General features: G+C 39.9%; 1 protein-coding gene and 1 non-coding gene across 13 annotated transcripts in view, besides 1 other annotated feature; one reads left to right on the forward strand and one right to left on the reverse strand.

Annotated features, from left to right (window-relative positions):
- Positions 1-27345, forward strand: part of PLEKHS1 (pleckstrin homology domain containing S1) — a 31748-nt gene extending 4403 nt beyond the window's left edge. For 2 of the 12 annotated variants that reach the window (NM_001193434.2, XM_005270163.3), the window contains exons 3-13: positions 10327-10415; positions 10528-10634; positions 11261-11395; positions 12731-12806; positions 13700-13816; positions 15886-16005; positions 18143-18249; positions 18742-18909; positions 19681-19782; positions 21040-21175; positions 24518-27345. In NM_001193434.2, the coding sequence (NP_001180363.1) occupies positions 11301-11395; positions 12731-12806; positions 13700-13816; positions 15886-16005; positions 18143-18249; positions 18742-18909; positions 19681-19782; positions 21040-21175; positions 24518-24697 (1101 nt within the window). In that variant the 5' untranslated portion in view covers positions 10327-10415; positions 10528-10634; positions 11261-11300 and the 3' untranslated portion in view covers positions 24698-27345. Of the gene's footprint in view, positions 1-8734; positions 9307-10326; positions 10416-10527; positions 10635-11260; positions 11396-12730; positions 12807-13699; positions 13817-15885; positions 16006-18142; positions 18250-18741; positions 18952-19489; positions 19783-21039; positions 21176-21325; positions 21640-24517 lie in introns of those variants that run through there. The other 10 variants (XM_011540175.2, XM_011540171.2, NM_182601.2 and 7 more) reach the window with 9 other exon arrangements.
- Positions 16530-17729: an enhancer, noted in NCBI's record as "BRD4-independent group 4 enhancer chr10:115532373-115533572 (GRCh37/hg19 assembly coordinates)". NCBI's record gives its function as "activates an origin of replication core promoter dependent on BRD2, P300/CBP, MED14 and CDK7 cofactors, and independent of BRD4, by STARR-seq in HCT116 cells {active_cell/tissue: HCT116}" and the evidence as "EXISTENCE:reporter gene assay evidence [ECO:0000049][PMID:35650434]".
- On the reverse strand, positions 21909-21970 carry MIR4483 (microRNA 4483). Its single transcript, NR_039703.1, has one exon. It is a non-coding gene; the product is annotated as a microRNA 4483 (primary transcript).
- Positions 27346-27659: the final 314 nt, after the last annotated feature.

Consider the following 27659-nt stretch of genomic DNA (forward strand, 5'->3'; position numbering starts at 1 on the left):
AAGTTAAATTATCCAATTCAACTCAAAAATGTTTACAAAGCACCTATTACTAGTGAGTCTTTGTGCTTTATGTTGCAGGGGATATACAGATTAATAAATAAGAGTCATTGCCCTCAAAGAGTTTTAAAATGTTGTTGGTGGGAGGCTGAGGCAGGTGGATCACTTGAGATCAGGAGTTTGAGGCCAGCTTGGCCAACATGGTGAAACCTCGTCTCTATTAAAAATACAAAAATTTGCTGGGCGTGGTGCGCCTGTAATCCCAGCTAATCAAGAGGCTGAGGCAGGAGAACCGCTTGAACCTGGGAGGCAGAGGTTGCAGAGAGCCAAGATCGCACCACTGCACTCCAGACTGGGTAACAGAGCGAGACTCTGTCTCAAAAAAATAAAATAAATTCTTGTCAAGAACTTAAACACATGCAAGTCACTGTGCTGGGAAATTAAGATTAGGCTGTGATGGAAATCATGAAATAAGTACAAATGCTATGGAGTCTGAAGAAGAAAAAGCATGTAAGTAGTAATGAGAATCCAGAGAGGTTTTACAGGAAAGGCATTTGAGCTAGACCCTATAGGAGGAGTAGGGATTTTAAAGAAATCAGAAAAAAGAGCACATTCCAGCAGAAGGAATGGCATGACCAAAGCAATGAAATGGTATAGAAGCAGAATGTGTCAAAGCAGAATATACTTATAAGGTAGGAGAAGGGAAAATAGAGGATGAGGCTGCAGAAAGGTGTTGCCAAATTGTGCCAGACCTTGACCGCGTATGACAAGTAACTGTTGAAGCATTTTGAGCATGGAAGTGGCATGGTCAGATCCACATTTTAGATTGGTCTTTTTTTTTTTTTTTTTTTTTGAGACGGAGTCTCACTCTGTCGCTCAGGCTGGAGTGCAGTGGTGCGATCTCAACTCACTGCAACCTCTGCCTCCCGGGTTCAAGCAATTATCTGCCTCAGCCTCCCGAGTAGCTAGGAGGCGCCTGCCACCATGCCTGGCTCATTTTTTTGTGTGTTTTTAGTAGATACAGGGTTTCACCATCGTGGCCAGGCTGGTCTTGAACGCCTGACCTCGTGATCCACCCGCCTTGGCCTCCCAAAGTGCTGGGATTACAGGCATGAGCACCGCACTGTTGGCTGATTGGCCATATTTTTAATAGCTTTATTGTAGTTTATTGTAATTGGCATACAATAAGCTATTATATATCTAAAGTGTACAATTTGATAGAAGTTTTGATATGAAACATATACAAGCACACCTCAGAGATATTTCAAGTTTGTTTCCATGCCAATACAACCAAGCAAATATCACAATAAAGCTAGTCACATGAATTTATTGGATTCCATAAAAGCTATGCGTACACTATACTGTAGTCGAGTGTGTAATAGCATTATGTCTAAGTAAATAATTTGCATACCTTAATTAAAGATATTTTATTGCTAAGATTTGCTAACAATTATCTGAGCCTTCAGTGAGTCACAATCTTTTTGCTGGCAGAGGGTCTTGCCTCGATGTTGACGGCTGCTGAGTAATCAGGCAGGTTGTTGCTGAAGATGCGCTGGCTGTGGCAATTTCTTAAAATAAGACAACAATGAAGTTGACCACATCGATTGATTGTACTTTCATGAAAAATTTCTCTGTAGCAAGTGGTGCTGTTTGATAACATTTTATCCACAGTGGAACTTCTTTCAAAATTGAAATCAATCCTCTCAAACCCTGACACTGATTTATCAACTAAGTTTATGTAATATTTTAAATCCTTTATTGTGATTTCAAAAATAAACAGCATGTTCACCAGCTGTAGATTCCATCTCAAGAAAACACTTTCTTTTCATATCCCGTAAGAAGCAGCTCCTCATCTGTTGAAGTTTGATCATGAGATTGCAGCAATTCAGTCACATCTTCAGGGTTCACTTCTAATTCTAGTTCTCTTGTTATTTTCACCACATCTGCAGTGACTTCCTCCACTGAAGGAAGTTTTGAACCCCTCAAAGTCATCGAGGAGTATTGGAATCCACTTCCTCCAGACTCCTGTTGATGTTGATATTTTGACCTCCTTCTAGGAATCATGAATATTTTTATGACATCTAGAATGGTGAATCCTTTCCAGAAGGTTTTCAATTAACTTTGCCCAGATCCATCAGAGGAATCACGATCTACAACAGCTATAGCCTTATGAAATGTATTTCTTAAATAATAAGACTTAAAAGTTGAAATTACTCCTTGATCTAGGGGCTACAGAATAGATGTTGTGTTAGCAGGCATGTAAACAGCATTAGTCTCCTTGTACATCTCCATCAGAGCTCTTGGGTGACCAGGTGTATTGTCAATGATCAGTAATATTTTGAAAGGAATCTTTTTTTTTCTAAGTAGCAGGTCTCTGCAGTGGGCTTCTAGAAATATTCATTAAACCATGTTATAAACAGATATGCTGTCACCCAGGCTTTGTTGTTGCACTGATAGAGCACAAGTAGAGTAGATTTAGTATAATTCTTAAGGGCCTTAGGATTTTCTAGCTTTTAATTGAAAGTGAGAGACATGTAACTCACCTTTCACTTGACACTCGCCTTCACTTAGAGGCCATTGTAAAGTTATTAATTGGCCTAATTTCAATATTGTTGAGTCTCATTGAATAGGGAGGTCCAAGGAGAGGAGAGAGATGGGGGAATAGCCAGTCAGTGGAGCAATCAGAACACACACAACATTTTTGAAGTTCACCATCTTATATGGGCACCATTCATACTGTCCCAAAACAATTACTCAAAGATCACTCATTGCTGGTCACTCTAATAGATATGATGATGATGAAAATGTTTGAGATATTGCAAGAATTGCCAAAATGTGACACAGAGACACTAAGTAAGCATATGCTCTTGAAAAAATGGTCCCAGTAGACTTGCTCAGTGCAGGGTTGCCATAAACCTTCAATTTGTAAATAAAAAAAAAAGCAATATATGCAAAGCACAATAAAGTGAAGTGCAACAAAATGAGGTCTGCCTGTATTTGATATGTGTGACACCTGGGAAATCATCAAGATGGTAAATGTGGCCGGGTGCGGTGGCTCACGCCTGTAATCCTAGCACTTTGGAAGGCTGAGGTGGGCAGATCACTTGAGGTCAGGAGTTCAAGACCAGCCTGGCCAACATGGTGAAGCCCCATCTCTACTAAAAATACAAATATTAGCCAGGTGTGATGGCCGGCACCTGTAATCCCAGCTACTCAGGAGGCTGAGGCAAGAGAATCACCTGAACTGGGAGGCAGAGGTTGCAGTGAGCCAAGATCATACCACTGCACTCCAGCCTGGGTAATAGTAAACACACTCATCACTCTTGATGTTTTCTTGTGCCTGTTTGTAATCCTTTTCTGCACACCCAATCCCAGTCCCCATTGTTCTGTTTTCTCTCACTGTAAGTTTGTTTGTATTTATTAGAGTTTAACATAAATGGAATCATACAGCATACACCCTTTTGTCTGACTTTTTTCACTCAGCATAATTTTTTAAAAATATATCCCTGGTATTGAGTGCACCAATAGTGCAAAAATAGTTCATTTTTTTGATGAGTAGTATTCCATTATATGGATGTACTACAATTTGTTGATTCATTCACCTGTTGAATATCCAGGTTGCTTCCAGTCTTCGCCTATTATAAAGCTAATATGAACATTTGTGCATTAATTTTTGTAAAATCATATATTTCTTTATTTTACCTAGAATCAAAATGGCTGGGTCATATGGTTGGAGTATGCTTACTTTTCATTCAAATTTGTTAGATTTTTTAAAAAGCTTTATTGAGGTATAATTGACATACAGTAGGCTGACATGTTTAAAGTCTACAATTTAATAAGTTTTGGCAAATGTACACAGCCATAAAATTATCACCTAAATCAGGATAATAAGCATATTCATCAACCTCACAAGTTTTCTTGGTCCCCTGCCTCCCACTCTTCCATGCAGTCATACTTCCCCAGACAACCCCTGATCTGCTTTCTATCCCTATATGTTAGTTTGTATAGAACTTTATATAATCATGCAGTATGAACACTTTCTGTCTGACATCTTTTTCACTCAGCATAATTATCTTGAGATTTACCCATGTCGTTGCATCTGTCAATAGTTTGTTTCTTTTTATTCCCATATAGTATTCCATTGTATAGATGTATCACAATGTGTTAATCCTTTCACCTGTTGATGAACATCAGGGTTGCTTCCAGTCTTTGGCTATTACAAATAAAGCTGCTATCAACATTCATGACCAGCTTTTGTATTTGTATATTCCTTTACTTAAGAGTAGAATGGGCCAGGTGTGGTGGCTCACGCCTATAATCCCAGTACTTTGGGAGGCCAAGGCAGTAGTATTGCTTGAGCACATGAGTTCCAGACCAACCTGGGCTACATCTCAAAAAAAAAAGAAAAAAGTTATAGCCATCCTAGTGAGCATGAAGTGGTTTCTTATTTTAATTTTGATCTACATTTCCTTAATGACTAAATGTATTGCACAGCTTTTCTTGTGCTTATTGGCTATTTGCTTATTTTCTTTAGAAGAATGTCTGTTCAAGTTCTTTGTTCACTTTTTAGTTGAGTTGTTTGTCTTTTTGTGTTGCATTGTAAGAGTTCTTTATATATTCTGGATAGTAGGCCCTGGTCAGATATATGATTTTTGAATATTTTATCCCATTCTGTAGGTAGTCTTTTCACTTTCTTAATAATATCCTTTGATGCACAAAAGTTTTTAATTTTGATGAAGTCTAGTTTATCTTTTTTGTTTGTTGCTTGTGCTTTTGGTATCATATCTAAGAATACATTGTCAAATCCAAGATTATAAAAATTTACACCTATGTTTTCTACTAAAAGTTTTATGGTTTTAGCTCTCATGTTAAGGTCATTTATTTGAGTTAACTTCATTATTTGGGATGACATAGGGGTCCAAATTCATTCTTTTGCATGTGAATACTCAGTTGGCCCAGCACCATTTATTGAAAAGACTGTTCTCTCCCCATTGAATGGCCGTGACCACTAATGTATGGGTTTGTTTCTGGACTCTGAATTCTATTCCATTGGCCTATGTGTCTTATCTGTCCTTATACCAAAACGACACTCTTGATTATTGTAGCTTTGTAGTAAGTTTTGAAATTGGGAAGTGTGTGTACTCTTTGTTCTTCTTGAAGATTATTTTGGATATTCAGGGCCCCTTGGTATTTTTGATGATTTTGAGGATTAGCTTTTCTAGTTTTACAAGATAAAAAATGCCATTGGGATTTTAATAGAGATTGCATTGAATTTATAGATTGCTTTAGGTAGTATTTATATCTTAACAGTATTAAGTCTTTCAATTCATAAATATGGAATGTTTTCCCATTAATTTATGTCTCTTTATTTCAGCAATTTTTCTAGTTTGCAGTGTACCAGTCTTTTTATCTGCCTAGTTAAATTTAACCCTAGGTACTTTTTTCTTTTGGATGCTATTGTAAATGGAACTGTTTTCATAATTTTATTTTTGGATTATTTATTGCTGGTTTATAGAAATATAGCTAATTTTTGTCTGTTGTTCTTGAATACTGCTGAATTTATTAGCTCTAGTAGTTTTTGGGGATTCTTTGGGATTTTTAACATATGAGATTATGTCACTTGCAAATAGAAATGATTTTATTTCATTCTTTTCCATTTGGATGTTTTATTTATTTTTACTTATTTTGGATGCATTTTTTAATGTTTTAAATAAGTTTGCTAAGAGTTTTCAATCAAGAAGAGTAATGCTAGCCTCATAGAATGAGTTGAGAAATATTCCCTTCTCTTCAATTTTTTTGGGAGGCTTTGTGTAGAATTGATTATTTCTTGCTTACATGTTTGATCAAAGAGAACAGTACAGCCACTTGGGCCTATATGAAGAATTTTTAACTACAACTCCAATTTCTTTAATAACTATAGGAGGCTATTCAGGTTATCTATTTCTTCTTCAGTGACCTTTGTTGGTGTAGTTCAAGGAATTTTTCAGTTTACCTAAGTTGCCAAATTTATTGGAATAAAGTTGTCTATAATATTTCTTTATTATCCTTTTAATATCAGTAGACTCTGTAGATATGTCCCCTCTCTCCTCCTAATATTGGCAAATTGTGTTTTCTCTCCAGTTTTTCTGGTCTATCTGCCTAGGTAGAGGTTTGTTAACTTAATCTTTTTAATGGATTAACTTTGGTTTCATTGGTTGTCTCTGTTGTTTTTCTGTGTTCTCTTTCATTGAATTCCACTTTTATCTTTATTATCTCCCTTCCTCTATTGACTTTAGATTTGTTCCTTTTTTTTTTTTTTTTTTTTTCAGTTTAGTTTCCTGAAACGTTTCAGGTGGAAGCTGAGGTAATTAATTTGAGACTTTTGTTCTTTTCAAACATGGCCATTTCTAACATAGCCATTAAAAAATTTTTCCCTAAGTACTGCTTTAGTGGCATCCACAAATTCTGATACCTTGTGTTTTAATTTTCATCCAGTTCAAAAAACTTTCTAATTTATTTTTGGGATTTTTTAAATTTAGAGATTATTTATTTCAGGATCTTTTAAGAGGTCTGTTATTGATTTATAATTTGATTTCATAGTGCTCTGAAAACATGATTTATATGATTTGAATGCTTTTAAATTTATTGAGACTTGTTTTATGGCCCAGAATACATCTATATTAATAAATGTTGCATGTGCCCTTGAGAAGAATGTATACTCTATTGTCATTGAGTGGAATGTTCTATAAATATCAATCAGTTAAAGTTGGTTGGTAGTGTTGTTCAAGCCTACTGTATTCTTGCTGATTTTCTACAAAATTGAAGAGAAGGGAATATTTCTCTACTCATTCTATGAGGCCAGCATTACTCTTCTTGAATGAAAACTCTTAGCAAACTTATTATTTAAAACATTAAAAATGCATCCAAAATTTAAAAAATCAATTTTAGCACTATTTGTTCTATCAGTTCTTGAGAGAGGGATATTGAAATCTCTATAATTGCGGATGTGTCCATTTATTCATGCAGTTCTATCAGTTTTTGCTTCATGTATTTTGAAGCTATGTTATAAGGGCATATATGTTTAAATTTTTATGTCCTCTTAGGATTAATTCATCCCTTTATTATGAAATGATATTCTTTGTCCTTGGTAATATTATTTGCTTTAAAATCTACATTGATGTTAATATAGGCACTCCAGCTTTCTTTGACTAGCGTTGGCATAGCATATCTTTTTTTCCAGTTATTTCCTTGTAACCCACTTGTATCTTCATCTTTAAAGTGTGTTTCTTACAGGCAGCATAGAGTTGAGTCTTGCTTTTTTATCCAATCTGGTCATCTCTGTTTTTTAATTGAGGTGTTTAGACCATTTACGTTTAACATAATTACTGATATAGTCAGGTTTAAATGTATCATATTGTTATTTATTTTCTGTTTGTCCTATTTGTTGTTTGTTCTCCCTTTCCCCCTTTTCTGCCTTCTTTTGGAATAATCGAATTTTTTATGAATCCATTTTATCTCCTTTGTTGGCTTATTAGTCATTACTTTCTGTTTTGTTATTTTAGTGATTGCTTTAGGGTTTATACACATCACAGTCTAACTTCAAGTGATAGTATACCAATTCACATATAATAAAAGAACTTTACAAAAGCGTATTTCCATTTTTCCCTATTGGCCTTTATGCTACTGTTGGAATGCATTTTACTTGTACATATGTTATAATCTGCACAATACATTGTCTTTATTTTTGTTCAGTTAATGTTTTAATGTTTTCAATAATAAGAAAATAATTTCATACATTTACCCCAGTAGTTACCATTTCAGTGCTTTCAATTTGTTTAAATTCAGATTTTTATGTTATCATTTCCCTTCTTCCTGGACTTCCCTTCACATTTTTTATACTGCAAGCCTCCTAATGATGAATTATTTCAGCCTTTATATATCTAAAAAGTCTTTAAATTGCCTTCATTTTTAAAAGACATTTTTGCTGAATATAGAATTTTGAATGAGAGTATTTTTTCAGTACTTTAAATATAGTTTGCTTGTTTGTTTGTTTGTTTTGAGATGGAGTCTCACTCTATCGCCCAGGCTGGAGTGCAGTGGCGCTATCTCGGCTCACTGCAACCTCTGCCTCCCAGGTTCAAGCCATTCTCCTGCCTCAGCCTCCCAAGTAGCTGGGACTACAGGCTTGCACCACCATGCCCGGCTAATTTTTGTATTTTTGTAGAGACAGGGTTTCACCATGTTGGGCAAGCTGGTCTCAAACCCCTGATCTCAGGAAATCCACCACCTCAGCCTCCCAAAGTGCTGGGATTACAGTTGTGAGCCACCACACCCAACCCTTAAATATATTGTTTTACTTTTTCTTGCTTGCATTTTTTTTCTGATGAGAAATCAATATCTCTGTTTCTTGTCTTTTTTCTGTATGCAATAGGTCTTTTCTTCCTCTGGCTACTTTTAAGATTTGTTTTCTTTATTGCTGGTTTTGAACAATTGAGTTATGACATGCCTTGGTGTACTTTTCTTTGTGTATCTTGTGCCGAGATTCATTGAACTGCTTGGATCTCTGGGATTATAGTTTTAGGTTTATAAAATTGTTAGCATTATTACTTCAGATATTTTTTATTTCTCCCTCTCTCACTTCAGGGACTCCTATTACTTATATACTAGGCTACTTGAAATTGTCCACAGTGTACTGGTGCTCTTTCTGAGTTTTAAATTATGTTCTAACTCTTTGTTTATGTTGTTAGTTACAGTTGCCATGCCTTTAAGTGCACTAATCTTTTCTTGTACAATATTTAATCTGCTCTTACTCCCATCCAGTGTTGTTGCTGTTTTTTTGAGACATTGTAGTTTTCATCTTTAAAATTTCACTTTAGGTCTTCTTTATATCTTTTATATCTCTCCCTAACTTTTTGAAAATATAGTGATAATAACTGCTTTAATTACTTTCTCTGCCAATTCTAACATCTGTGTCAGTTCTAGGCCTGTTTTGATTGATTGACTTTCTTCTCATTATTGATCATGTTTTCCTTCCTCTTTGTATGCCTGGTAAACTTTGATTGACTGCCAAACATCGCAAATTTTACCTTGTTGTTTCCTGAATATCTTTGTATTCCTATGAATCTTGAGCTTTGTTCTGGGATACAGTTAAATTTTTTGGGAACAACTTTCTTCTAAGTCTTTCATGATTTTTTAGGTGGGTTTGGAGCAGTGCTCAGTGTAGAACTAGTAATTAGTGTAGAGCTAATTATTCCTCACACTGAGGCAAGACATTCCTGAGTACTCTACCCAATGCCCTGTAAATTATAAGTTTTTCCAGTATGGCTGGAGGTAACAAGCACTTTTTCTGAATCTCTGATGTATTTTAATGGTTCTTTCTCTGGCCTCAGGTAGTTTCAGCACACACATGTGTTAATCGACACTCTTGAATACTTGAGGGAGACAGTATATATTGCCCTTTGGCTTAGCAGACAAAAGCAAAACCACTCACTATTGAAAACGGGGTGGCAGAAGTGATTAAATAAAGAAGTTTCTAAAATGTTAACTGCTTCTCTATAAGTGATGAAATTATAGGCAGTTTTAATATTTTCTATATTTTCTAAAATGTCTACAATAAATATGTATCATATTCACTATTTAGAAAAACACAATGTTGTTAAACACAGTGTTGTTATTTTTGTTTTCATTTTGGGTTTGTTTTTGTTTTTGTTTTAGCTTGGATTTGCTTTCACATCCAGGCTATAGGTTTAGTTTGTCCTCAGTTTTGGAAAGGGCAGTCTTTACTAAAAAAATTAGAGCTTCTTTATTAAGTGAAAACAGACTTAAGATTTGGTAATACAGTATTTGGTAATAGCTGGGGCTATTAGGATAGTATCCAGTAATTCTGGGGAGGTGGCTGTGTTTACCTTCACTCCTTTTCCAACTTCTGCAGCAACTCTACCTGTCCCCCTTCCCCAGATAGTTTTTGCCACTTCATTTTTAATAGCAGGTGCTTTTGCTCTTGTTTGCTAAGCCAAAGGGCAATGCAGAATTATCATGCTTCTGCAATGGAAATACAGCCAAATCTTTGCTCACACGTAGAGAGCCAACGACATACTCTAGAAACAGAAAGCCAGACAGGTGTGAGCTGAATTAACATGGTTTCAAATGTTGTTTGAATGAAGGTCTCGGCTGTGGAGGAATAAGAATCATACATTTGGTCCTTTGTTTTCTTGGGTTATTATAGGTGTCCTTTTCCATAACTACTGAATAATCTGAAGGTCTTTCCAGAGATAAACAGTGTTTTCCAATTGAGGCAGTTCTTTTCAGAAATTTATGAGGAACAAACTGAGTTCTGTTCACTTTTATTAGGCAAACAATTTACATTTTCTTATGAAAATGAAGTCTGCAAACAAGATTACTTTATTAAATCACCACCTTCTCAGCTGTTCTCCTCTGTGGTAAGTATTTGCTGTGATTTAACAAGCCTCCCACCAGCCTCATGAGCATTTTTAAAAATCATTTCTTTTCCTCTGAGATTTAACTAAGACATAAAATCTTTTTATTTTTCAGACCTCTTGGAAAAAGCGGTTTTTCATCCTGTCAAAGGCTGGGGAAAAGAGCTTTAGTCTTTCCTATTATAAAGACCATCATCACCGAGGTTCCATTGAAATTGATCAGTGTGTATCCAAGCAGGAAAACTTTTATAACAACAAATACTATAAAGTCAAACAGTAACAAGTTGCATGCAAATTGAAATTTACATAATTGACCAAAGGAACCTGCTTCAAGCTGATTATAATATTTGTGACTGAATAGGAGCTAAAATAGTGAGCACTTTGAGTTAAAAGATAGTTGAATATTTGTTTCATATTGTATGTCATACTTGATAAGTCTTTAATTAACAGGCATTCAGTTAAGGAGTTTGATTCACATAATTTGTGGATGAGAGGGAGCAGATGAAATTGTCATTTTATAAAGTCAAGATAGAGTTTTAAAAAATATTTAGATCAGCTTTTTTTGGTCTTCTCTTTAATAAATTGTGCACCCCAAAATTGAAAAACATAATTTGTGGAATCAAGAATCCAATTAAAATAGAAATTTTTGAATCTTAGGCTAAACAAAATAATTTCAATTAATTAACCAGATCAAAAAATCCAAACTTATCTTCTAAAATTATTGGACAATCTTGGAAACATGGATCCAGCACATCTAAAGTTTTATTCCATTTGAATCCCAATATAAAATATTAGTTTTCTATTTCTGTATTTACCTTGGTTTAATACTTTGTGTCTATATCTAATAGAAATTCCAGTGTAGAAGTTGGCATAAGTAGCCAGGAAAAGATGCAATCTGTGCAGAAGATGTTTAAATGCCACCCTGATGAGGTCATGTCCATCAGAACCACTAACAGGGAATACTTCCTCATTGGCCACGACAGGTGAGAGAAGTAAGATAACACAGAATATCTACTGCATGCAAAACAAAAACAAACCAAAAAACAAAACATTTTATACCAATAAACATGTTCTGAACCCACGCTACAAACCTCAAATGCCATCTTGGCAATCTTAGTTATTTTTAAAAATATCTTGAAAAGTTACTGAGCTAGTTTCCTAGGGCTGCTATAACAAAGAACCTCATCCTGGATAACTTTGAACAACAGAAATTTATTGTCTCACTGTTCCAGGGGCTAGGAGTCCGAAATTAAGGTATGGGTAGAGCCATGCTCTCTCTGAAGACTCCAAGGAAAGATTTGTTCCAGGGGCCTCTCCTAACTATTGGTAGTTCCCTTGGCTTGAGGCAACATAACTCCAGTCTTCACATGGCGTTCTCCCTGTGTGCATAGCTCTGTGTCCAAATTTCCCCTTTTTATAAGAACATCAGTAATATTGGATTTGGAGCCCTCTCTATTCCAGTATGACCTCATCTTGACCAATTACATCTGCAACAACCCTCTTTCCAAATAAGGTCACATTCTGAAGTATTGGGATACGGAACTGAAACATACAAATTCATTGTATTTTTGCGGGGAGGGTACATTTCAACCGATAACAGTCACCATCACCCCAGAAGCATTCCATGTAAAAGAACCCAATACAAAAACATCTACACAAGCTACATATATTAGGGAGGAACTAGGCTTGCCCCCAAAGTAGTCTGCAGTTTTTAAGAGGGGCTTCTGGTCCTAGCAAAGGTGCCTAGTGGACTCTTCATGGATGATTATCTGCTTGAGGGAGAGGCAAAGCGGGTGTGGGAGAGACTGTGCAGAGGAGGCGGACAATGCCAAAGCCAACATATGAAAAACCCTGATCTGTTTCAGATTGACCAAAGCTTCCTTTTAAGTTGTCCTGTGAGTCCATAGAAAAGATGTGATTATACAAATTCACTCAAGCACATTCTTCATCAACACATGCACTCCCTAAGGGAAGGCCCACCTGCATAGTTACACAAAAATGACACTGACAGGTTAGGGGGCTTGCTTGAGAACACAAAGGAAATCAATGTCAAAGCCGAAAGCCCCAAACCCTGTGATTACTACTATTATTTTCTACTTTTCTTCCCTTTCTCTGAGCTTTCCTTGCAGAGGTGGCTGAGCATTAATTCTAGTGTGCAAATGTGGAGGTGGCGAGGCCATTTAAGCTACTTAGGAAAAATTCTTATTTCGCTGGTACCTGCTCTCACCACCATTCTAACATTCATAAAAGAATCCTTCTCTGGTTCAAAAGGCACTATTGTTGCCACATGCCAACTGAAAGTTTATTCCTGTCAACAGGGAGAAGATTAAAGACTGGGTCTCCTTCATGTCATCATTTCGCCAGGATATAAAAGCAACACAGCAGAACACAGAGGTGACTCCATATCACTAATAAAATAACAGGGCACCTGAACACAACCCTCTTTCAATAGAAAACAATGGTAGCTTTCCTTTGCCTCCTTAGTAACTGGCTTTAATACAAGGAATAAATAAATGAGAAAATGTACATCCTTATTACTTTTTATGATTAACAGAAAAAAATTCTTTTGTGTTTTGTGAGAGAGCTAAAGTACAGACACTTCAGATTTTTATTATTGTGTTAGAGGGAAGAAAAGTTAACTGTGACATTTTTAAGTAGTAGCTAGAATATAGTATTTTCCATCATTGTTATTCAAGGTGCATGACAAGCTCCCTTTTGAATGACTAAGTCTAGGGCAGTTTCTATAAAAATGTTTTACATGTATCTTGCATTTTTAATATAATGTATCTTTCATGTACATGCTTAGCAGTTTTAAGTTTTAAACTTATTTCAAAAGGGCCTCTGCTAATGTTCCTTTCTCAGGGCAGACCTTTATAGATGGAACTTTGGTCCCTAGGTATCTTTTTTTGACATGTTTTCTAGGTTGTTCCATGCTTACAGCAAAAGCCAAAGAGAAGGAGAAATCAAGGCATGTCTTCAAGTAGACTGAAGTGATTAGAGCAAAGGGAACTGGGGTGGAGGGTGTCAGAAAGAGACACAGTTGAGGAGACAAGTTGAGGGAAACGCTGGTCATCTCTGAGGGTCAGGCTAAATGTCCTCAAGGGTTTGGAAACAGGAGAGAGACAAGTTCGGCTCTTGTCTTGGTGAAATAATGCTGGCAGGCCAGCGGCATGAATGTTAGATTGCTATGGGAAAAGACAGGAGGCAAGGAGCCCGGTAGAGAGGCTGCCGTTTCATTCCAGACAGAGATCAACTGTGCCCTGACTGATTCCTTTTTTTGTGAGCAGGAGGAACTCTCATTGGGTAATAAAAGAACCCTCTTCTACTCCAGCCCTCTCCTTGGCCCTTCCAGCACATCAGAGGCTGTTGGCTCCAGCTCACCAAGAAATGGTCTCCAAGACAAGGTAATGGGGCTCACTTCTTTCTCAGGACACCACACCTGGGAGGCAGCTAATGCCTAAAAATCTTACCAATTAGCAATTGAATTTAACCATGCCCACCTTCCTCAAAGCCCGATGCACTATAAGAAAGATTCTTAGCCCTGATGTTTATCCCATACCACAGATGAGCCTCACTGAGGGCTTGCCCTGAATACCTCTCAGTGTATTCATTCATTTTAGATGCTCTTGATATGCTTTGGGTATGCTAGGGTAAGACCCCTTTGCTAAACCAAAACCTAGCTGGCAACTTGCTTCCTTTCTTTCACACAGAGGGCACAGATCCCTCTGCCAAAAGATTTCCCAGACACTACCTGATTTCTGCCCATTCTGTCTGTACTCCTCAGGCAAAGGCTGAGTTTCTTGTTAATCTCTTCCCTTTACCCTGATCAATCTCGCTTCTCATTCATTATAGCTGTCTATCACTTCTTCCTCATTTCTAATGAAATCCATTTGAAGACATAAAATATAATGTACCTGCCTCTTGAAAGCGACTTGTAATTGGACCTTCAGCTTTCTTGGATTTGCAATGTTCCCAACTTGGGATATTAGTCATAAACATGCTGAGTGGTTTTGTTCTCTGGCACGGATACTATTTTGTCTCTTAGAGACTTATCCATTGACTTTACCCTGTCCATGTATACCAAGCACATCTAATGAGTCCTAGTCCCTTGTTTTATCTAGTTGGTAGCTCTCCAACTATTTTGAAAGCTTTTTGTAGCATATCAAATTCACCATGCCAAACACCTCACCTCAGTTCTTCATTTAGCGAGTAGAAACGGTGGTATGCAGCAGTTAGGAAGCTTCACCCTTGTCTGTAAGTGCCTCTTGCTTTTCACTCATGATATCTCCCTCCCCCTAGAGATAACATTATTGGTCACTTTGCCTTTTCACACTATAGATCCAGTGATTTTTAAACCAGCTCGAGTTAACAGTACTGTTTGCCTTGCTGGGTGGTGTTGTTGTTGGTTAAATTAAGTGGGCTGCCTTTACCCCCAACTCAGCATGATCCGGCTCCATGAGCTTGGAACTTAAAACATGGACAGAACTTAAACACACCTGTATTTTAAAACTTGACTTTTTTTCTAGAGAACATTCAGGGTCTTTTCCAAACCCCCTGCTCTGAGGCATTGTTCTTGGAATTTTTCTGCCATGCAAAGAAGCTACTTTAGTAGAATATTCTGTATCTATGGGGAAGGGGAGGCAATAGTGGTTGAATCTAGATCACCTGGAAACCCATAATTCATACTATCATATGATCAACACAACCAAATTCCATTGCTGTGGAAACAATAGAAGTGTGTGAACAGAACACAAAAGAAAAATATGGAGCAGGAACAGGAAAGGTGCAACGCCTTGATTCTGGGTTAATTACATTCTTAGATGGCACTGGATGATTACAGGAAAAAGATGAGGGTAGCAACTCCAGAGCTTAGTGACTTAGAATGCTACCCACAGGGCTGGTCATGGTGGCTCATGCTTGTAATCTCAGCACTTTGGGAGGCTGAGGCGGGTGGATCACGAGGTCAGGAGTTTGAGACCAGCCTGGCCAATATGGTGAAACCCCATCTCTACTAAAAAATATACAAAAATTAGCTATGCATGGTGATGCGCGCCTGTATTCCCAGCTACTCAGGAGGCTGAGGCAGGAGAATCACTTGAACCCAGGAGGTGGAGGTTGCTGTGAGCCGAGATCGCGCCACTGCACTCCAGCCTGGGGGACAGAGTGAGACTCTGTCTCAAAAAAAAAAAAAAAAAAAAAGAATACCACCCACAGGAGAAAACCACTTGTTCTGAGTGACTGTTCCAAACGGTAGAGAAAAAAAGCCTGAGTGATGTGCTTATATGTTTTCATCCTCAGTGGTGACCCAGACTCAAGAGGCAAGTTCAAGTTGTGTGAGCTTCTGGATGTAATCTTGGAAGACCCTCTGGTCTTTTTTAACCCAACTAATTTATTACGGCTTTTCTAGAATGCATGTGATTTAATTCTATCTCTTGCAAAGAAAAAGCAAAGCATTTTTATCTCTTTTCTTCAGCATTTAATGGAACAAAGTTCTCCAGGATTTAGGCAAACTCACCTACAAGATTTATCAGAAGCCACTCAAGATGTGAAGGAAGAGAATCATTATCTTACTCCTCGAAGTGTTCTTTTAGAGGTAACCCCTTCTTGTCCATTCATCATTTGTTTCTTTAACAAATATTTACTGAAACCCTGCCATGCACTTTTCGTGCAATATTAGGCTATGGTCAGTGGGAACACAGAAGTAAATCAAATACAGATGACGTGCTCATGGTGCTGACACTTGACTAGGAGACAGCTGTAATACAAGACAGAGGGTTCTATGCTGAAGAGAGATGCTTATAAAATACCAGGGGTGCATGAGCTATGGGAGGAGGAGATGACTTTCAAACAAAAGATCAGGAAGATTTCAGGGACGAGATGACATTAGGCCATACATGATGAGTAAAATTTGGATGTGGGGGATTGCCTTGAGGAGTCTTTCTGCATTCTTAGCAGAAAGAATAATATGAGCCAAGGTCCTTGGGTGATCAGTTGTGTGCTGTGTATCGATCAGTCTATTGATCAGTAGGAAGCCCTTACTGAATGCCTTCTGAGCACTAGTCACTGTACTGTACTGGGCATGGTGGCTAAAGTAATGAGCCTGACATCACCCTGCTGTCAGAGTGCATAGTCTTGTCAGTTACCACAGGATAACGCTGCACAAAAGACGTGGTCCGTGTGCTCTGGAAGCAATAGAAAAAGAACAGATTTTCTCTATCAGAGTCAAGGAAGGCTTCTGGGATGAAGTGCCATTTGATACATGTATGGGGAATAGTTCAGTGAGGCTGCAACCTAGAGTGCGTGAAAGGCATAGTGGGAGATAAACAGAAGAAAAGGGCCAGCCCATGATGGGTCTTGAATGCCAAGTTGACTTCATTCTGTAGACAGCATAGGGGAAGCGATGGCTTCTGAGTTGGGAAATCTCAAAACCTGAATTATCCTCCATTAGTATTAACTGAGCAGCTATATCTGCCATGGACTATAGAGAGAAGAGAATGGAAGTGAGAGATAGGAAGACAGAATGGAGGGTGGGAATGCTGCGTCATTTCCCAAACTGGGGGTTTTCCGTAAGATGGTGACGTATGTTTATATAAAAGAAACATTCTGGGGTCAAATAAGTTCCGGAAACACCCAGTTAAAATAAGTTAAACAAGCTTCTTAGCAGAATTCTCAGAGCATTTAGTATGCAGTGGTGCATTGTAAATAGTCAAGTCAGATACAACACATGGCATTTCCCAAGCTCCTTTGAGCACAGAGTTCTTCTTTCACCAAAATATTTTCATATTTCTGTTTCCTGGGATGCAGTCTTTTATGATAGTTCAGCCAACCAATCAGATGTGTACTGAGCATCAGTTATAGGCCTGGCCTTTGCTAGGTACTTTATGATAAGTAAAGTCTAGTAAAGCAGACAAAACAGCTAAAAAGACCAAAGATAAATAAATAAATAAATAAGTAAAAAAACTATGCAATGGAAATTGAGAGAAAGGAGAGCTCTGCCGTAGCTGAGGTGATCAGAGTGGGCTGTGGGACTTCAGCCAGGCCTGAACATGATTTCAGTAGGCCGAAAGGAAAGATGGCACTCGAGGTGAAGAAGAGAGCACGAACATGGCGATGGAACAGCACCATTTGCAGGGGGCCAATGGGAAGACTGGCTTGACTGGAAGGAAGGTTTCCATCATGGGTTAACGGTGAACTTAGGTAGGCCTTAGGGTTTTTGAGCAATCATTGCCACAAGTGACTCTCTTTGTTCTAAGGGGGCTATGGAGAGCTTCCTAAGGGCAGTATTTTTCTAGAACATTGCAATGTCCCTGAAGCCACTTGGGCTGCCTGTGAGCATAGTAACCTGAGACCAGCTTCACATTGTGTCAGAGTCTTTGTCCCAGCCAAGTGCCATGATTCTATAGTAGAACTGATTGGGGAAATGCTTTCATGTCATTAAGTGCCGAATGGTGAAACAGAAAGATAAACAGCAATTTAGCTCAATAGAAATAACACTTGTATCCGGAGCATGAGGGATCCAGGAGAAGAAAATTGACTTTGAGTCCTCCAGAAGCTTTGCTGGTTCAGTCTCGCGGAGGTAAGGTTGGTTGATATTTCTCAAATGAGAACCACGTTCATCCACTGGAAACTGTACCTCTATGTCAGAGCCCAGAGCTGTTAATACTAGAAATAAGAAGGTACCTGACTTATCGGTAAACTGGGATTCTTACATCTATTCCTTTTATCTGCAGTTGGATAATATCATTGCTTCCAGTGATTCTGGTGAATCCATTGAAACTGATGGTCCAGACCAGGTCTCTGGAAGAATTGAGTGTCATTATGAGCCAATGGAATCCTAGTAAGTCAAAATGCCGTTTCAAAATTTGATGTTTGCTCATCTGCTGTTAAGGAACAATGATTGTCAGTTCATTTCAATAGTTGATAAACTGATGCCAAACATTACCAGAGACCAGTTTCCACATATTATTCAGTCGTCTCAACACACAAAAAATGAGGGAGTCATGTCTCTTCCCACAGAAAACCACCGATGACATCCTCAGGACCTTTTCCGTCTCCTGAGGAAGTTATCTTCTACTTTGCATTTATGTCTCTCACACTCTCACTTCTGTCCTCCAAACACTGTAAAGGGTAATTTTGATTCCATATCTATTTTTAGAAGGAAAGTTTGTTGAATTTGATGCTAGCTGTGGCTGTGATTCTGATAGTTGGACATACGTCAAGACCTTGCTAGTCTTCACATGGCTGTTAGCTACTTAAATCTGACACACACAGGGGAACACTGTAAAAACACATGCTAAAATAGGGCTTGTTTTAACTTCTTATGCTCTAGTTTTTTCAAAGAGACATCCCATGAGTCTGTGGATAGCAGCAAAGAGGAACCCCAGACCCTTCCAGAGACCCAGGATGGGGACCTCCACCTGCAAGAACAAGGCTCAGGAATTGATTGGTGTCTTTCCCCTGCCGATGTGGAAGCACAGACCACAAATGACCAAAAGGGGTCGGCCTCACTAACTGTTGTGCAATTGTCTATATTAATCAAGTAAAGCTCTAATTTCTAAAACTTGATGGGCCCTAAGAGCAAGGCAGCCTCCCTCCCACTTTTTTTTTTAACTTAGAATTTAAATTTTAAAGCTGTTCCTAAAAATCTCCAAGTCAGCCAAAAACTTGACCATCTTCTCCCTGTCATTGATGTTGTGGCCAAGGAGAGGGGATGATAGATCTCAAGTAAAGCAGTTCCTGGGGCGGGGGGTGGCATTTTCAGCTATTTTTAAAAATTCCCCCTTGGCTACTCTTTCAGGTCCCAGGACTTGGGATCCACACCAATCTGAGTAGCATGTCACTCAGTTTTCCCATGAGTGTAATTATGGACATGCAAGTTGCATGAGACTTAGTTATAGACCAGGAGGGGGTTATTTAGGCTTTAAGTGATACCAAGAGCATTTGGTACGATTGATGTAATTTTAACTCTTTTCCATGCCTTCTTCTATGGAATCATTTCCAGCAGAGAAATATGCAGACTGGCCTGATGTGGACAGTTACATAACCAATTTAGTCCATTTTTCCCTCTGTTCCCATAGCCTACCATCCGCTACCACATCCCAAGAGGATTTTTCAGTAACTTAAATTTATATTATTCTCCAAATGTTTTGAACAACCTTTACCTGGACAATGTCATCTCAGAAATAGAGGCCAAAAGTCTACTCAGAAAGTACAGTTGAGAGCCAAGGTCAGTTGCCTGATGTGACTTTTACAAATGTCTTGTTCATAGTAATATCCCCGATGAAAGCCAAGTGGAGAAACTGAACGTTTTCCTTTCTCCTCCTGATGTCATCAACTATCTTGCTCTCACAGAAGCCACAGGACGGATATGGTAGGTTGGAGATTTGACTGTTGTGGATTATAAATGGGGCTGGAAGCTTTGAAGAGAACAATTACATCTTGAAACAGTGTATTTGGCAACACTGACTAGGTTTGGGGCGGGGGAGCTTGGACTGTTGACTGGCTGTTGTTACAAAAAAATCTTTGAGGCAGAAATCAGGGTCTTGTTGTGCAGAAAAGTCAGCCTGGAGGTGAGCAGGGGGAATAACAGGACCCAAAAGTTCAGGAAGCAGCCATTTCTGACTCCTCTAAGGGAGGAAGAAGGGGCTGGGATACAGGTGGCCCAAGGACATCATTTCCAATCACTGTACAATGAGTATTTGATGAATGAGTGAAATTAGTGAAGTCAACAAGAATCAGAGGCCTAAAAGAAGAAAGCACATCAGCTTCTAAGACTTCCAGACACAAGGTTAAAAAAAAACAAAAAACAAAAACTGCTAGTCACAGACACAGACACAAAAGACTGTGTGGCAGAGAATTTTCTTAAAGCAATCACTGTCTATTTGATATGGCATTTTTTTAAAACACTTTGTAATTTATTTTGATGGAAGATTTCATCTTCATAAGGGAAGAAAACTCTTTAATGTAAACACTACACATTAATTGTCTTATAAGTTCTAAGAAGGGAGGAAACACACCTTCCATTTTTTTAAATAGTCCACAATCTAAGGCTCAATACACACTTGACTGAAACTGTGGACTCCTCCATAACTGAGCTGCTACATTCCTTAATTCATTTATTTGTTCATTATATATTCATTGTATAATCATTACACCCTCACTTCCAACAAACGCTGAGCACTCTTTCTTTACTTGGAACCATGGGGTTTTAAAAATTAAAAAACAAAACAAACAAAAAGGTGACATCATACTTCTGGGGTCATGTAACCTGGTAAGAAAAAGACAGCCACAAAAACAAGTAAATGTAAAATGCATTTTATTTAAAAATGTAACAAATCAGGTACTCACACAATGTAATAGAAGTCCAGGGGTAGGGGAGATGAATTATAGCAGAGGAATGGGATGTAGGATTTCATGGGCCTTTGTAAGGGTGGTATAATTTGAGCTGGGCTTTGGAGGAAGGGTTAGGCTCCTATTGTAGTGACAGAGGAAACAATATTCTAAACAGAAGGAGATAGTCTACTTCAGAGGTGGTGCCACGTGACCTAGAATCAGGAGACCCTGCGTGCCCTGCCCTCCTGGCCAGCTGAGCCTCACACTGGTATTGGATGTTGTATTCCCACTGCAGTGTGTCTCAGTGGGAAGGCCCCCCACGTTTGGGATGCATATTTTGCCACGGAGATCATCTTCTGGCAGTGAATGACCTGAAACCCCAGAGCCTGGAGGAGGTCTCCCTGTTTCTTACCCGGTCCATCCAGAAGGAGGTGAGTCGTACTGACCAGCCCTGAACAGGGCAAATCAGTACCAGAAGGAAAAAGATCAGGGTCTTAGATGGAGTCTGAGAAGTACCCTGAATACAAATAAGGTTCCTCATTCTTCCACCATCAAGTGCAAATAACAGAATGTGCTTTCAGGACTCTTTCAGGATTCTTTCATATCAAGTAGCATTTGGAGAAGGCACTGAGCTAAGAGACAGAGCACCTGGGTTCAGGACCTCAGATCGGCATGATGTAGCAAAAAGAGCTTGCATGGAATCAGACTGGTGCAGGGATTCCAAAACAGCTCCTTCAACCAATTTGTGCCTCAGTTTTCTTTTCTGTAAAATTATGACTAATGATGGTGCTGGTTGTTGGATAATTAAATGAGGTAATATGTGTAACGTGCTTACAAAGGTGACTGGCACATATTAGGTGCTCAATAAAGCTACTAGTTACTTTTACTTCTACTACAACTGACCATGGAATGTTATTCAAGCCCATTTTTTAAAGCCTCAGTTTCATTATCTCAGAAATCGTCACAGCCCTAACTTCCTCATAGAATATTGCAAGAATTAAACATAATATGTGGTGCTGGGCACGGTGGCTTACACCTGTAATCCCAGCACTTCGGAAGGCCAAGGCAGGAGAATCAATTGAGCCCAGGAATTCAAGGTTACAGTGTGCTATGATTGCACCACTGCACTCCAGCCTGGAAGACAGAGCGAGACCCTGTCTCAAAAGAAAAACAACAACAGACCACCCCTAATATTATATGGGTATGCACTAAGTATGTTGTTTTTTCAAGGACTAGCTATTGTCCTGCATATCACTGCAGTCTTCATGTGTTAATTCCTTCCCTGGTCTACTTTTCTTTCTAACTAGCCCTGTGACCTTAGGAAATTCACTGCCTTCTCTGGGCTTCAGCTTATTCTCACTAAAGTGAGAGGCTGGTTTTCAAACTGTGCTTCTTGCATCCCCAGGATGGAGGTGAAAGGAGAGGAGAGGAAGGAGAGAGTATGCTGGGTCTTCAACTGGAGAAGCTTACATTTATCTTTTATCTTTTATGAAAAAAAGATTAGTCCAAAATATTGGACTTTCCTGTTAGCTTTCCTTAAAAAACAGTTCTTTGGCTTCAAATTTCTGAAAACCATTGTATTAGATGATTTCCAAATTTCTTCCAGCTCTAGGAATTTTGTGATTGTGTAGCATATCTATATTAAGAACACATCTTATCTCTTCTGCACTACGTAATAATCCCATTGGTCACACAAATTGTGCCATCCCTATTACTCATTACCCTAAATGAGTAATTCCAGTGAGGATAAGTGAATGAGTTGTCTAAGATATATAACTAGTTAGTGGCAGGGCAAGTACACATTCGTTCACTTTCTTTTTTTTTTTTTTTTTTGAGACGGAGTCTCGCTCTTTCGCCCAGGCTGGAGTGCAGTGGCGCAAACTCGGCTCACTGCAAGCTCCGCCTGCCGGGTTCACACCATTCTCCTGCCTCAGCCTCCTGAGTAGCTGGGACTACAGGCGCCGGCCACTACGCCCAGCTAATTTTTTGTATTTTTAGTAGAAACAGGGTTTCACCGTGGTCTCAATCTCCTGACCTCGTGATCCGCCCGCCTCGGCCTCCCAAAGTGCTGGGATTACAGGCGAGAGCCACTGCGCCCGGCCCATTCACTATTTATTGAGCATCTGCTGGGTGCTGTATACTGTGCTAAATTCAAGAGCTACAAAAATGGCCTCAGCCTGAGCTGAAGCTCACAGATTAGTGGATGAAGCAGGCATGTTATGTGCTACTTGCTATACAGTGTGTGCCCTGAGATATGAACACAGGGCCATAGGATCACAGAGGTAGAATGGAGTAAATCTACATGAAGGAGGCCAGGAAGGTGTCTCAAAGAAAGTGGTGTTTGGCTTAGGTTTTGAAGACTGGATAGGAGACTGCATGGTGGAAAAGAAGTAGATTTCAGGGCCCTAGTCCAACAATCTGGTAACTATAGTACATTTTCTCTGCCAAAGATCCACACTGGGCTGGGTGTGGTGGCTCACACCTGTAACCCCAGCACTTTGGGAGGCGGAGGTGGGCAGATCATGAGGTCAGGAATTCGAGACCAGCCTGGCCAATATAGTGAAACCCCGTCTGTATGAAAAATACAAAAAATTAGCTGGGCATGGTGGCGGGTGCCTGTTATCCCAGCTACTGGGGAGGCTGAGGCAGGAGAATAGCTTGAACCCAGGAAGCGGAGGTTGCAGTGAGCCGAGATTGCACCATTGCACTCCAGCCCTGGGAACAGTGTGAGACTCTGTCTCAAAAAAAAAAAAAAAGGATCCACATACACTGGGGCCAAGTGGTCAATATAAGCTTCTGAACTCTTCTGAAAGTTACCAAACACTACTCTGACCCAAAGATCCAGGCATTAATTCAGAAGCCAAGAAAAGGGTTTTTGCCTGTGAGCAGATCCAGGAACTGTACCTGGGTGTTGCTGACTGCAGTTTATCCTGACTGCCTTTCTAGACTGTGGAGTCATTGCATTTCTCTTGTGCTCGTTCTGCCTTCCCTTTCTAATTGATAACAGCCCCTACATGCTATTGAGAAATATGCAGTATTCATCTTCATGATTATCTGGAAGATAGAAAATTCCCTTACTTTCCCACTGCCTCCATTCCTGATTTCTTTGTGTTGATGGGTATCCACTGCTCTTTTAAAATTCAAACACATAGTCCCTGGAAGGAAAAAGAATATTGGAAAAGGGAGATATGGAACCAAAGGAAGAACAGCCATTGGCCCTTGATGTTTTAAAGTGCCTGAGCCAATCCCATTTACTCTCCTTCCTGTTATGCTACAGATGAGGGAAGTGGAGGTTGGGGTGGGGATGGGGCAGGGATTGGGAGGGGAGAGAACTGAGATTTTCAAGGGAAGGGGAGAAGGTGTGTGCAGGGGAAGGACATGACAGGTTGCAGGAGAAACTGATCAAGTTTAAGTTTCCTCCCAATCTTGTCTGGGGGAGTCCTGTCTGGTGGTTTCATTTTGATTCACTTGTTTGAAGAGGCCTTTTTAATTCTTGGTGCAATTGGACCCCTTAGAGCACCATCAATGCTACCTGGATCCTTCCTTAAAAGCTCAGCTTCCTTTTCAGGCCATGGATGCCAGAAAATAAAAATCCACCTTCCACCTAACTAGCCAAGTAAGTCATCCCTGTCTATTTCTGGCCCAGATATTACAGTTCACTGCAGGACTTTCTTCAATACCAGCTCCCAAGGGTATGAATGAGGACAGATTGGGAAGCAACAATCTTAAAGATAATCTTTAGCCATTTAACTTTCTTCTTTCTTGTGTTTTAGAAATTAAAGCTTACCATCGGCAGGATCCCAAATTCAGAGACATTCCATGCTGCATCCTGTATGTGTCCCTCAAAATGCCAAAGTGCTGCACCTTCTCAGCTGGATAAGCCTAGACTGAACAGAGCTCCCAAGAGGAGTCCGGCCATTAAAAAGAGCCAGCAGAAAGGAGCCAGGGAGTAACGCACCCCAGACCCATGGCAGCAGAACCAGGATGGAGCTGGGACTGTCCAGCTCTGCCCCCTGCTGCTGCCATGTGATAGGAGACAGTCGGCACCCCCCTCTGAATTTCTGCATCTGCATCTTAACAATGGGGATGACTATCCCCTCTCTGGTTATTGTATCAGAGATGCTAAGAGGGTCATGTGGCATGATTGGAGAACCTGGGGGAATTGGAAGGCCTTATTATCTCAGCTATTGTCCCAAACACCACAGACACAGATTGGGTCAGTCCTTCATGTAATACATGCTGTGTTCTGTGAGGATGTGGTCCACACAATTCCTTCTTTGTTAAGGGACATACAGTTGCAAATACTCACTGCATGAAGGCAAGATTCCCAAGGGAGATGTGATAGCTGATCAGGCTTCCCAGACACCTCCTTCCCAAACACCTCCTTCCCAACACCTCCTTCCCCAACATCCTTCCCAACACCTCCTTCCCAACACCTCCTTCCCAAACACCTCCTTCCCAAACACCTCCTTCCCAACACCTCCTTCCCCAACACCTCCTTCCCAAACACCTCTTTCCCAAACACCTCCTTCCCAGACACCTCCTTCCCAACACCTCCTTCCCAACACCTCCTTCCCAAACCCCTCTTTCCCAAACACCTCCTTCCCCAACACCTCCTTCCCAACACCTCCTTCCCCCTTCCCCAACACCTCCTTCCCCAACACCTCCTTCCCAACACCTCCTTCCCAAACCCCTCCTTCCCCAACATCCTTCCCAACACCTCCTTCCCAACACCTCCTTCCCAAACACCTCCTTCCCAAACACCTCCTTCCCAACACCTCCTTCCCCAACACCTCCTTCCCAAACACCTCTTTCCCAAACACCTCCTTCCCAGACACCTCCTTCCCAACACCGCCTTCCCAACACCTCCTTCCCAAACCCCTCTTTCCCAAACACCTCCTTCCCCAACACCTCCTTCCCCAACACCTCCTTCCCAACACCTCCTTCCCCCTTCCCCAACAACTCCTTCCCCAACACCTCCTTCCCAAACATCCCCTTCCCAAACACCTGCCTCTCTTCAACCCCACAGGCCAGAGTGCTGAGACAGAGTGGCCTTTTGGATTCAATAAGTATCTTGTTCTCTTAAAGACTCAGCAACGATTTTAGAAGTCGCAGCAGTTTTACATCACATGCAGCCAAGATCAGCTTGCTCTACAAGCAATAACAGAACTACTTAGCACTTCAAGGTTGAAAGTTCTTCACTAATGGATCCATTGACTAATTGATCCTGGAAGGCCAAAGGAATAAAATTCTTTTATATAAATAGGAAAACAAAGGCAGAGAGCTAAAGCACTAATCAAATCGGGGGGTGTTAGAGCAAAAACAGGCTTCAGAAAGAGTATTTTACCATGCTTCACATGGAAAAAATCGAGCCCCGGAGCGATGAAAGGCATATTTTCTTTGTTTCTCCAAGTTTCATAACCGTTCAGTTGCAGAACCAAGAATCTAAAACCAGCTCTGGGAAACAAATGTCCAGATGCCAGCCTCATAGTTGAACTTGGATTTGAAAATACCTTCAGCACTTAGAAGAGACATTCAAATACATTTCATTTCCTGTTACCCAGATTGTTCGGAAAGTATTAAAAATTTTTCATTTACATGCTGATACGGTTTGGATCTGTGTCCCTAACAAATCCCATGTCGAGCTGTGGTCCCCGGTGTTGGAGATGGAGCCTGGTGGGAGGCAGCTGGATCGTGAGGTCGTGGGGGTGGAGTTCTCACGAAGGAGTTAGCATCATCCCCTTGGCGCTGTTCTCGTGATAGTAAGTTCTCGTGAGATCTGGTTGTTTAAAAGTGTGCAGCACCTCTCCGCTCACTCTCTTCCTCCTGCTCCTGCCGTGTAAGATGCCTGCTCTGTCTGCCACAAGTGAAAGCTTCCTGAGGTCTCCCCGGAAGCAGATGCTGCCACGCTTCCTGTACAGCCTGCAGAACTGTGGACCAATCAAACCTCTTTTCTTATAAATTACCTGGTCTTGGGGATTTCTTTATTTAATGTGAGAACGCATGCCCTTTTGGATCTGCTGTTTCTACTTTTATAAATTTATCATGCAGAAATACACAAATACACAAAGATACATGTAAAAAAAGTAGTTTACTGCAGTACTGTTTGTAATAATAAAAAATCAGGCTGGACGTGGTGGTTCATGCCTATAATTCCAACCCTTTGGGAGGCCGGGACAGGTGGATCACCTGAGGTCTGGAGCTCGAGAACAACCTGACCAACATGGAGAAACCCTGTCTCTACTAAAAATACAAAACTAGCTGGGCATTGTGGCACATGCCTGCAATCCCAGCTACTTGAGAGGCTGGGGCAGGAGAATCACTAGAACCGGGAGGCGGAAGTTGCAGTGAGCCAAGATCATGCCATTGCACTCCAGCCTGGGCAACAAGAGGAAAACCCAGTCTCAAAAAAAAAAAAAAAATCATGTGGGTATTGCTTAATTCTGATTTCATATCATTGAACACTGTAGATATTAAAATGTTCAGCAGGCACAGTTCTGTAAAATTGTTCGTGATACATTAAGAATGAAAGAATCAAGTTGTATAATAAGGATAACATCATCCCACTTTTGTACAAATAAATGTTTGGTGTTTGTGTGTATGTATATGTGTATATCAAATTTCTTCAACCCTTACTAGAGTGAGAGGTCCGTACCTCCCAGGGCTACTGTGAGGTTTCCTTATAAGTACACTGCCTGATCAGGAGTAAACACTCCATAGGTGTTCTTTGTCCCACTTTTGCTCTACGTGCTTTTTTAAAAAATTAAAACTTAGAGTCAAATTTTTAGTAAAGAGTTATCTCTGAGAAATACGATCAGGGTTGGCCATGGGAAGAGAGGCATTTCTGTAATGTTTGAATACTTTTTTTTGCAATGTGCATATGTCACTTTTATAATACAAAAATACAAGCGTGGG

Source organism: Homo sapiens, chromosome 10 (assembly GCF_000001405.40).
Source record: "Homo sapiens chromosome 10, GRCh38.p14 Primary Assembly".
Taxonomy (NCBI): domain Eukaryota; kingdom Metazoa; phylum Chordata; class Mammalia; order Primates; family Hominidae; genus Homo; species Homo sapiens.